This window comes from Homo sapiens, chromosome 4 (genome assembly GCF_000001405.40).
Source record: "Homo sapiens chromosome 4, GRCh38.p14 Primary Assembly".
NCBI classification, from domain to species: Eukaryota; Metazoa; Chordata; class Mammalia; order Primates; family Hominidae; genus Homo; species Homo sapiens.
This window is the reverse complement of record NC_000004.12, coordinates 159,259,507-159,271,954: the sequence shown is the minus strand read 5'-3', so window position 1 is coordinate 159,271,954 and position 12,448 is coordinate 159,259,507. Positions and strand designations below refer to the sequence as shown.

General features: G+C 36.5%; 1 protein-coding gene across 7 annotated transcripts in view, besides 1 other annotated feature; it reads right to left on the bottom strand.

The window, feature by feature from the left end:
- The window catches only part of RAPGEF2 (Rap guanine nucleotide exchange factor 2), a 257,095-nt gene that overhangs the window by 88,219 nt on the left and 156,428 nt on the right, over positions 1 to 12,448 (bottom strand). For 3 of the 7 annotated variants that reach the window (NM_001351728.4, NM_001351727.4, NM_014247.5), the window contains exon 1: positions 3,740 to 4,146. The exons of the other annotated variants lie outside the window; for them this stretch is intronic. In NM_001351728.4, the coding sequence (NP_001338657.1) occupies positions 3,740 to 3,799 (60 nt within the window). In that variant the 5' untranslated portion in view covers positions 3,800 to 4,146. Of the gene's footprint in view, positions 1 to 3,739; positions 4,147 to 12,448 lie in introns of those variants that run through there. 7 annotated transcript variants of the gene reach the window in all.
- Positions 4,267 to 4,316: an enhancer, noted in NCBI's record as "active region_22092". NCBI's record gives its function as "activates an Ori minimal core promoter by ATAC-STARR-seq in GM12878 lymphoblastoid cells {active_cell/tissue: GM12878}" and the evidence as "EXISTENCE:reporter gene assay evidence [ECO:0000049][PMID:35858748]".

Below are 12,448 nucleotides of genomic sequence, written 5' to 3'. Positions count from 1 at the left end.
AAAAGCAGAAGGAAGAAAGGAAATGGGCTAAATGGCAACTATTCCTGACCATCTCAACTCAAGTCTCAACATGATTTCAAAATGGATAGATGTATTATTGACTCAGCCAAGCAATGAAAGTTTTATAAAATGATTTTGATCATGATATTCTTGCTGCTTGGAATGTCACATATGCCAGGAAAAAGATAGCTGCAGGAAAAAAGCACTTTTTCAAGTTGTGTATTCCACTAGTTAATACTAACTCTGATAATTATGCAGTCTACACACCTGAAGTAGACTAAATTTGGTCACATAGGGGTAGGTAGTACAAGTCTGTGGTTAAGGCAATGGCTATAAAATCAGACAAACTGGGGTACCAATGATGGCTCTACCACTTACTAGTAATATGTCCCTGAAAAAAATTCTTTTTAATCTCAGTTTTCTCATATGTAAAAAGGTAATACTGTTTCTTAAGAATTGAGATAATATGTAATATAGTGTCTGCTATGCAATACATTACTCAATAAGTTACAGCTACTGCAATTTATTCCCTATATTTAAGTAGGGCACTTTCTTATGTGTACTACCATTTTTATTATTATTTAATCATGACTTGGGCTGTGATTTAAGTATAGCACACTACATAAATCAATTTCTACAAAAATGTAAAATTTAAAACCATGTTATCAGTTTGATAGCACCAAATCAATTTATTTTAAAACTTTTTTTAATTTACAAAGTTTCAAATCCATCCTATATTGGGAAATTTTCAAAGGCATCTGAGCTGGGCAAGATGGGGAGAGAAGAGCTCCACTTTAAAAAAACACAACAGTTGGTAAATTGAGTAAAGAGACTTTTAATGCTAACAATTTCCCTAACTTAATGAGCCTATAAAACTTTTTTCATCTACCATCTATTAACAGTCTATTCAACTAATGGTCTACAGGAGTCTTTTGAAAAATGCAGTCTCATAATACATTTCTGAAATGTTAGCAACCTCCTCTTATTTTAAAAAGAAATCACAAGATTTTTACATTTTTATATTCACAAAACCATGAGATTCCTCCGAAGACTAACTGAAAAGCACCACATGACTATAAAAACACAGCCCAGTGCTGGGTGCATTTCTGGTGACACATGGGTATTCATCTTAGTATTATCAATCAACCACATAAAATGGAAATAGGGGGAGGTGTAATAAAATATGTAAAAATTACTAGTTAAAAAAGTTGAGACTTTATTAATCCAAAAATTTAAAGAGAAATTCAATGGTATTTATCGTACGTCTATTATGTGCCGGCAACTGAGGTATGCACTGAATGAGACAGACAACAAATAAAGAATAAAGCCCATGAGATCTGAAAGGTTCTGATAAAGTAGAAAAACTGAGCTTACTATTTGTGCCTAATCATAGCTAAAAAAAATGCCCCCACCCCAAATTTAATGGTTTTTGTTTTCTAGTACTGCACTACCTGCTGCAGTCAAAGAAGCAAAGCCACTTAAAAGCCCACAAACTTTTTGAATAAGCAAAACAGAAGTATTTGTGAATTTAATAAATTCTATTCATTTGAAATTAGCTCTGACACTATAAAGCCTCATAGGATGAAAGAGGGGCCTTCTCACTCATTTTTACCCAACAACTATATTGAGTCACTTATTGAGAGCCTGAGTAACTATTTTCTTATTCAACTCCTCACATACAATTAAAATTTTAAAGGTCTGATTATTACACAGCAAACTCAATAGAACCAAAGGACTAGTCAACAATTATACAGCCAGACCTTGATGTTGTAAGCTGCCAACTCTGCTGCATGTGACATCTTGAGATGGCAAATTCTAGTATTTCAAGTTCTAACCAAAGTGTCATGGGCAATACCACTCACAGATTTCTATAAATTGCTTGATCCAAAGTTATTTTATCACTAGTGTTACTTTAGTCTAATATCACTCTAAATTGTAGCAAAATATAGGCACTTGTCAGGAAACAAACAGGCTTACAGAATAAGATCAGGGACTCTAGTTTAGGCACTATTGGGTAATATCTGTCCCAACTGGCCTTTACATAAATGTAGTAATGTGTTTTCCTCCTCCTGGCAGTGAACGGTTTTAACAATTTTCTTTTCTTTTTTTAAATAGAGATGGATTTCACTATGTTGCCCATAGTAGCAAACTTCTGGCCTTAAGCAATCCTTCCACCTCTGCCTCTCAAAGTGCTCGGATTATAGGCGTGAGCCACCACACCCAGCCATCAATTTTCTTTGTTCATTAAATTTATATTATTATTCATTTAAACACCCCCACACACAAACATACACACACTTTAAGAAAAGACATATGAAAAAGGTAAGTAAAAAGCCTGGGGTTTAATTTTTGTTTCTAAGGTTCCTCAAGCATAGCTGAACTAACACTCTTACTTTTACCTGGAAAATCATGACTACAGAAGAGTTTAATTTCAAAGGCCCCGTTAAGAAAATCAAACTACAATGGAACTTCTTTACAACAACCTTTCCTACTAGTGAAATTAAGTTTAGGGCTGGTCTTTTTCTGGATCTGATCCAAAGAGAGTTAATTAGTGAAGTACCACGAGGACCTCATGGTAACGGGCTGGGCTCTCGGTGCAGCGTCATAACATGCTTCCAACACAGCCGCTGCCTTAAGCGCAGCTCGCATGGCTCATTCCTGAGGTGAGACAGTGCGCAAAGAATCACTTAGTCTAAGAACATCTCTTGGATTTAGTTAGTAATTTTGTTCCTAACAATGAACAAAACCAAATTGTACTCATGAACCTCAGCATCTAAATATTCTACATTCATGGCCTTCTATCTATAAACTTACAAAGCCTCAGCGACTTATTTCCACTTTTAAAGTTTACCATCTTATCTTCTTTAGAATACATGAAAGACAATTCCTATACTTTAATAACCTGCTAGATGCTAGGATGTAGAAGTAGGCATTTCAAAAATACCTAGACTACTATACAGGCTGTCTAAATTTATGCGTTTGCATTTTCACGATTGAATATATTTATGTATGTATCAATCATGTGAATTTGTGTGATGCCAGAAAACTCCCAACATGGTGATATAAAAGTAGCACCATGAGAACTCACATTCCTGAAACAGGAGGCTCTGACTTGGTGTTAGGCATAGAAAAGTCTTTCTCGGTAGCTGCCCATGGGATTTCAGCATGACAAACACATAGCTGACTCATGGGATCAATTATAAAGAAGCAATAATTTTTTGTGGCATTAAAAAAAGCTGTGTTTCCATAAGTGATGAATACATGTTAAGAAATCAGATGAGTCCCACTGATCGCTTTATTACCAAATCAATAACCAAAGCTCTCCCTCCTACACTCAAACCTACATGCGAATTCCTCACTATAGATTCCCGTTCTCAATAACCTTTCTGATGATTTCTCATTAAATTCAACTACAAAAACATTTTTTTGAAAACTATTCAAGTACTAAGTCGAAGCTGAACTGTCAAGCTTTAGTTTCTAAATATAAAAATTAGCTGCCCAATATTTCTCAGTATTAGTGATTTTGCTTTAAATAAATTGCTGGTCTTGCTTCAAATTTTTAAAAATTACAACATTGGAAGAACAAGCCAGCTTTAATGCACCCTCCCCTCCTCTCCAAGCAGACTACTATACCTTCTACAAAAACTGTTTTCCCTGAAGAGAAAGAGCAACAATTCCCATTTTAAAGCAGTTCTCTATGACGTGCTATCAAAGCACAAGCAGCATTTGCGATACTTACTGAGTGTTTCTCCTGCTGGCCCATAACTCCATGGTTAGCTGGGATTGCTAGTGGTTTCATAATGAAGAAACATATGCTGAACTGAATTTACACATCATGTACCAATCTCTCACGATGGCAAGTCACCCTCTACAGCATTAAATTAAAAGAAAAAGGAAAAAAAAAAAGGGAGGAGGGAAAACCAAGCTGCAGCTTAAAGTGTCACTACTGGTAAGCTTAAAAACCCTTCACACTTGTAGACCAGAAAAGGAATCCGAACAACAGTGTTCGTCTCCATTTTTATAACATTGAAACTCTAACCATCCTAGGCTATGACAAGACTGAGAAAACCTCACACAGCTCTCAGTCTTCCAAGAGAACAAGATCATTTCTGAGATTGAAGAACAAGAGGCAAAAGAAAAGGAGAGGAAAAAAAAAAAAAAAAGAAAAAAGCTAAAATGGCTGACTGCACACAGACTCCCCTCAAAAAGGCTTAACACAGAATTATATTAGTCAGGGTGGTATAAGAACCAGGCTCTAGCATTCAGCCAAGCATTGTTAATACCCTTGTTTCATCTGCAATCACACATACAGAACCCTCCAACCAAGAGAAAAAAAGAAAATGAAAGAAAGAAAAAAATCAGGGCAGAGCGTGTGAATCGGGAACTCCTCCCTAGCTGCTAATGATGCTGACAGAGTGGTGACCAGTGATCTCTGTCCCACTCCACTAACCAAGTTTGCACAATTAATCTTGGCAGCATGACACTGATGGACATTTAATTTAATGATGTCTGTCCCTCACACTCAACACAAGCATGCCTGCTAGCAAGAGAGCCACTAACAGAAACACAGCACATGCACACACACAATCTCAAAAATCATGAGTCTGAATGCAATACACCAATATAATTACATTATTGTGCTTACTTTGGAGGACCATGGCTGCAGGCAGTTGGCATAGCAACGCACAAGGAAAGCCATTTCCTGGATAGAAAGCTTCCTTTTCTAAATAAAAAATTCCTCTTAGGAAACAAACGGCATTGCTGCTTCCTGCAGAAAGCAAGACACTGTAGTCTGTCTCTTAACCTGCAAGGCTCACACTCAATGCAGTTCTAGTGATGTAAGTGGATTTCTCTCTCACCCTCCCTCTCCCTATACACACTGAAATATTCAGCTCAAATGGTACACACATTCCTTAAGACTCGCCCCCTCCTCTACTTAACCATTTCACTCATTAAGGTAGCAATGGACAATTCAGATAAAGTAACAAGCTCTTGCCTGTATTCTATCAGCAGCTGTAGGTTAAGCAAGTCTCAGAGGGATGGAATCCATTGATTGCTGACTCCAAATAATATCACTGAAGACAGGGTGGGAAAACGGAGCAAGGACTTACTTGAACAGCTTTGAACTAAAATATGATTTTTTTCACCAAGGTGAAGATAAAGGAATCAATGTGACCTCTATCCCATCCTCAAATATTGCTGTGCTATAGTAAACAAGTATCTATCAAAAATTTATAAAATGCATACTTGACAAGCTTTGTATACATTTAGATGATGTGATTTTCACAAACACCCATACACACACATACACACACACAGATGCACATATTGCCTTGCAAATAATATAAAAAATTAACCTACCCAGGTTTTTTTTTTAAAAAACCAAACCAAACTTCAGAGGTAGAGAGTTGAAATAAAATGCGGATACATTATTCTATTATAAACTCTTAATTTCATGTACATATGTAGGTATTTGAAAGACTGCATTATACTTGACAAAGAATAAGGACATTTTAATTCTGAAACACTGTCAGCTTTTCACAATCAGGTTTATCTATCAATGGCACATGTAATAGAAAATAGACACAGAAAATGTAGCATTTTTAATAATTGACTTTGGAACTGTCAGTGCTTGCTGACTTGTGTTTCTTGACTACTGCCAAAGACTGTACCCACCCTATTCTCTTTCCTTCTTTCTCCTCATATCTAAAGGCAACCATTCCCACCACATCACTCTTTTGGATCCTTCTCCCCATCCCCCCAACCCCTTTTCTTACATTACCCATTATCCTTCTTTTGCCACATATGCTTAACCTCTGCCCCACAACCGGAGTCCTCCCCACCAGCTTTTAAATGTGCAGGTCTCTCCTATCTCAAAAACAAAACAAAAACAGAATCATTCTCCAGACCAGGTATTTTCCTCTTCCTCCACTTCCCAACCAAATCTCTCAACAATCTGTTTTGGTTTTCACCATTCCTCATCCCATGGAATACTTACATGATGAACCATAGTGATCCTGTTATGCCATTTCTACATCTAAGAGTTTCCTTAACATCTCTGTCCATGATCAATCCATCACAACATCTGTTTATTACATTCTCTAATTTTTCTCAAATTTAGATTTCTCTTTGTCTTTGCTGTTATCATCCCACTCCAATCATTATTTTTTGCCTTGAGAACTGCAAAAGTCTCCTTAAGGAACTGTCTGGATTCTAACTCCATCCACCCAACCTATTTACCATACCACCTCCTGATATCTTATAAAAACTAAAGCCTGATCATTTTGCCCTCATCCACTAAGCTCCTTTTACAAATGAAAACAAAACACTTCCATGGCTTCCCACTGCTCCTGGCATAAAGACCAAAACTCTTATCATGATCTGCAAGATTTATACATTTTCCAGACTTACACCATGCTCATGGTCACTCTCTGCACTCCCAAGTTGCAGGGGCTGCTCTTGCCTCCTTCATAGACAAAAGGGCCTTTGCACATGTTATTTCCTCTGCCTGAAACTTTCCTTCTTCCTTCCTTTCCTGACTGATGCCACCTCCACTCCCAAAAACAAACTGGTGAAATACCCTCAGAAATCTCATGTTAGTGTTTATCCCTTCACTGAAGCACTCATTTACTACCGTTGTAATTTTGCATGTAGTCCCAAGAGTATTTAAGCAGTTACTGTCTGCTTCCTCCACTACACTCTCACCTCCATGATGGCTGGTGCCATATCTGTCTGTGTGTACTCCTGTGTTCACCGCACCAAGCACTGTAGGCACTCACGTTCTTGTTGAGTGAGTGAACCTTCCACTGACTGGGAAAGGGCACTAGAAAGACCCCATTTAATCCTCTAGACTAGTTTCTGTCAAAAGTCCAAATATTTTTCTGTAATAGATATAACTAACGACTTAAAAGTAAACTGTTGCCAAACGGTAGAAGCAACCCAAGTGTTCATCGACAGATAAAAATGTATGAATGATATTCATACAAGTGTGGTATATGCATTATTCAGCCTTAAAAAGGAATGAATTTCTATTACATGCTACACCATGGATAAAACTTGAAAACATCAAGCTAGAAATAAGACAGTCACAAAAGGACAAATAATATATAATGCTCTACTCTAGATACCAGAGTAGTCAAATAGTCAAATTCACGTAGGCACAAAGTAGAATGGAGGGTGACAGGTGCTGGGGGAAGGAGGGATTGGGGAGTTATTGTTTGATGGCACAGAGTTTTAACTTGGGAAGATCAAAAAAGTTCTGGAGATGGATGGCGGTAATGGTTGCAAAAACAATGGGAATGTATTTAATCCCACTGGCCTTTTACACTTAATAATGTGTAAAATTGTAAATTTTAATGTTACTTATATTTTATCACAATTTAAAAAAAGTAAATGGCAACTCAGGGATTAAACAATCAAGTTCTACACCTTCCATCTGGCCCGTGTCCCACAAAACACATATCCATGTGCCAAAACACTCCTCTCAAGGTTAAGTCAAATTACCCCCATGCTGATGGTATCTGACTTTATATATGTAGGTTACCAATTGCTTGCCTCTCTCTGGAAAATGTGTGACTTATCTCAAGAAGGAAACTAACCTAACCGGGAAACCTTATAGATGAAGTAAAATCACACATCCTTAGGCACTGATGCTTTTCTGTGCTAAGACTTGGCATGATCTCTCTCTCAGCCTGGCTCCATGCCTACAACCTACACATCTTAAAACTCATAATTGTAATACAGAAATTTCGTTATCCACACTATCTTGTATGTTGAAACACAATTATGGCAGGTTATAATACGCCAAACACTGCTAAAGAAATATAAACAAAGGATTTAGGAGAAACCCATATTATAGATTTTATACAAATAAGAAAAAATCACACTTACCTTGAAGTTCACTCTAATTTGGGTTATATTTACCCCATTCCTTAACCATTACCAAGTAGCATTAACTAGATCTTGTTAAGAAAAAGAACCATGTAAGAACTTTCTACCCTGTCAATAACATCCAATGACTTCCAAATTATCAGTAACAACACTCCAAAAAAATGGAGATTATATAGTTCAGGAAACTACTTAATGCAAAGGCTTTCCAGGCTATATTTAATATCATTATATTCTTTTTTTTTCCACCTAAAGTATTCACTTTCTAATTACTATGAAATTGAGAAAAATGGTCTGTTCTCAGTAATGATTAATCACACTTAGAACATATACAGTGTTTAACCATAGATCTCAATGTGCTTTACAAACATTTAATTAAACTTCATCAAAACGCAAGGGAATCAAGAGAATAATGTACTTATCTTTAATAGAAAAATAAAGTGTATAAGATTATAGAGTTAGTAGTATAGAAGAATGCAAAATAGAATTCTAAGTTTCTTAATACCACTTACTTCACTTAATAGTTAAATATTCCCTCTCCCCACTACCACAGAGGAAAAACCATAGAGGCTGGGGAAAACTTGTGGGTATAGCAGAAAGAAGTCATTCTTTGATACGAGAAAACAACAAATTTTACAAACTGGATTTTTAGTGTTTCACTGTTCCCCCCAAAAATGTCATTTTAAAATGCTATTTTCTATATGAGTACATCAAACTAATTAAGCACTAAGCCAATGCAAAATAAAAGATGGTAGATATGGTCAGAAGTTTTACTTCTCTTTTCCTAAAGCCAATACATCCCCCATTAATAGTGCATTTTCTTTTAAAAGAAAAGTTGATTATCTGATAAACTTTATATTTTAACTCAATCTTACATTTTCACGTCATCTATTTCATCTTTGGGTATACCTCACACAAGTCCTTGACACACCCCACCCAAAGCAGTCACAGAGGAAATCTGGGCTAAAATTTCATTTTTCTACTTTCATAAAGTGAAATGGCACTTCTGGTTCATTATTAAGAATAATTTAATTATGAAATAAAATGTGAAAGAAACCAATGCAATGGCTGACACATAGGAAATGCTAACTAAACATCTAAGTGAATCTAAATACAGTCTTTAGAAACACAAAGAATCTGTTGAGTTCATGTTCAGTATCAGAAAAACCTAACTGGGAGTTCAAAAAGATCACCATGATTTACTCCACAGATACGTTCCAAGGAAATGTTAAAAAAAAAAAGTTTCTGACGGCAAACTGTTTATGTGGCATCTGATTTGTAATTGAAAAATTATGTGGCAACTATCTATAAGAAATATACGAAAATTATGTGGCAACTATCTATAAGAAACATTCACATGGAGCATGTTAGAAGGGAAAGATTAAAAGATGACATGAGATGGAGACATGCAGAAAAACAAAGAAGCCTGTAAGTCCATGAGAAATTCCCATGTGGGGCTTTTAAAAATGCACTTACTTGAAAAACGGGCAGACTTTAGCAGCAGATTTAACAAAGCTTACTTCATTCCCTAGAATCTATCTTTTAAAAAGGCCAGACTTCACTTACAAACCTCTGCTCAAGGTTTCAGAGGTGGAGTCCTTGAACAGTGGTTGTGAATTATTTCCATGCTTTTTCTAGGGGCGAGGCTGTAGAACAAGGCCCCCCCACTAATATTTCACACATTAACACCGCATATGTAAAAGAATATTATCTTTATTACTAATTTGACTGTAATATATTCCCTTGGGATTAATATGTTGCATGAGCACAATGATCTGTTAATTATCCCTCTGTTTTTATTTAAGAAAAACAGGAAATACTGCATCACAAACTGGAATTATAAGTTAGATGAGGGGAACCACACAAAACTTATCTGATATTGTCAACAACAGACTGTGCTTTATCCCTAGTACTTGACACATAGTGGTTGTTCAAAGAATGAATGCATAAGTGATTCCACATAAACTTCAAAACTAACCTGTTAAATTCCACACTGTTTAAGATGGGGAACCAGACACAGGATGGGTGAGTAATTATAAAAGATGCCTAATTTCTTTACTGACAAAATCCAGAGTTTTAAATAATTTGATAGGCAAAAAGAGTAGGCTAAAACCAGTAAATTTAAATTTTACAGGAATAAATATAAAGACCTACATGAATATTATCAAAATGTCACTTGTACAAGAACAGGATGGGGAGAATCAGGCTTAAGGAACAATTCATAGGTGAGTGGGAGGTAGAAGGGGTTATCTATAAAACAGAGCAAGCCAAAAGCTCTCTCTGAGCCAATGTACAATCCCCAAAATCTTAATATAATCTCAGGTTACATGATCAGACCTATGATGTCCAGAGCAAAGAAGACAGAAAATTCTACTGTAATCTGCACTGTAGGGTATTACAGGACCTATGCAAACAACAGCAAGCAGTAACTGGTTTAGGAAAGCTACAAAAAGCTGGTAATATTTAATACAGAAGAAGAGGATTAAAGGGTGGATCTTTGTAAACATCTCAAACACAGTTATATAAAAATGGAATATTAATATTCACTTGTGTTGCTTTAAGAGACCTAGAAACATGAACTAAAATTATGGAGAGGCAGATTACAGCTAACCATAATAGTTTCCTAATAATTAGCCCTTTCCTATAATAAATAATAACTGTTAGGATTTACTAAGTTCAAGAATTTCTTAATAATTAACCTTTTTCAGCTGGATGCGGTGGCTCACGCCCGTAATCCCAGCACTTTGGGAGGTCAAGGTGGGCGAATCACAAGGTCAGGAGATGGAGACCATCCTGGCTAACACAGTGAAACCCCATCTCTACTAAAAATACAAAAAAAATTAGCCAGTCTTGGTGGCAGTGCCTGTAGTCCCAGCTATTTGGGAAGCTGAGGCAGGAGAATGGCGTGAACCTGGGAGGGAGAGCTTGCAGTGAGCCAAGATTGCACCACTGCACTTCCAGCCTGGGTGACAGAGTGACTCCGTCTAAAAAAAAAAAAAATTAACCTTTTCCTGGTGGGGCACAGTGGCTCACGCCTGTAATCCCAACACTTTGGGAGGCCAAGGCGAGGCGGAAGAATCACCTGAGGTCAGGAGTTCGAGACCAGCCTGACCAATATGGACAAACCCTGTCTCTACTAAAAATACAAAAAATTAGCCGGGCATGGTGGCGCATGCCTGTAATCCCGGCTACTTGGGAGGCTGAGGAAGGAGAATCACTTGAACCTGGGAGGCGGAGGTTGTGGTGAGCCGAGATCGCGCCATTGCACTCCAGCCTGGGCAACAAGAGTGAAACTCCGTCTCAAAAAATAATAATAATTAACCTTTTCCTCTAATAAATAATAACTGTTAGGATTTACTAAGTTCTTACTTTGTACCAGGCACTGGGATACAAATTTGACACTCATTCTGTAAAGGATGAGTGTCAAATACCTGTGCTAATTGTAATTTAAAAATCTTAAAAGTAGAGGCTGAATGTTAGTGGTTATAGAAAAGAACTAAACTGCATTAAGTAGTTCAGCCAGAAGATTCTTAAATCCTTTCACACTCTTAAGGTGGTCTTATCTAACATGGCAGTTACCAAACATCAGCTGGCGGGAAAATGCGAGTAGAAAGGCTGATATAATATAGAATCATAGGAAAAAAAACACTACATTAACGGAAACAAAACTGTTTGGGGATAAGATTTCCTCGTAATAACTCCTTCATTCCAAGATTTTTGTCTTTCTGTTTTGGCAGTGCGAGGGAGAATATTAAAATGTCCCTTACTTTAAAAAAAAAAAAAAATTAGGCTGGGTGCAGTGGCTCACACATGTAATCCCAGCACTCTGGGAGGCTGAAGCAGGCAAATTGCTTGAGCTTAGGAGTTCAAGACTAGTGTGGGCAACATGGCAAAACCTCGTCTCTATAAAAAATTAGCCAGTCGTTGTGGTGCACACCTGTAATACCAGCTACTTGTGAGGTGAATCACTTGAGCCTGGGAGGTCAAGGCTGCATTGACCCGTGACTGCACCACTGCACTCTAGCCTGGGCAACTGAGTGAGACCCTGTCTCAAAAAAGTAAAATAAATAAATAAATAATAATAAAAACAAACTACAGTGATAATAGGACAATAGAAGTTTTCTTCTTAACATCCTTAAAAATTAAAAGTTGCCAAACTTAGAAATGGATTAAAGATGATTTTAAACAATAATCTGAATTATTCAGATTATATATAACTAGATAGTTTTATAGAAGTATTTTTAAAACTCTTTGATTTACTTATATTTTTCAATATTCTTAAATATTACCAAAACACTTCCAACATTTTCTGGTACACAAGATGAAATTTTATGAGTGGTATTTTTTTCACCTCTAAAAACTATGAATAATTTTAGACAACTGTAAGTAAGTGATTTCAGTTCATTAAACAGTCATACCTACAAAAGATCTTTCTGCAAGATTTTGGCTTTCCTTATTATAATATTAGTGGGCCTAACTTTTAAAATACACTAGTTACACGGTCATCCCTTTGTTATGAAATGGTGCTACTTACTAGTAAAAACTTATCCTATTGGAATGA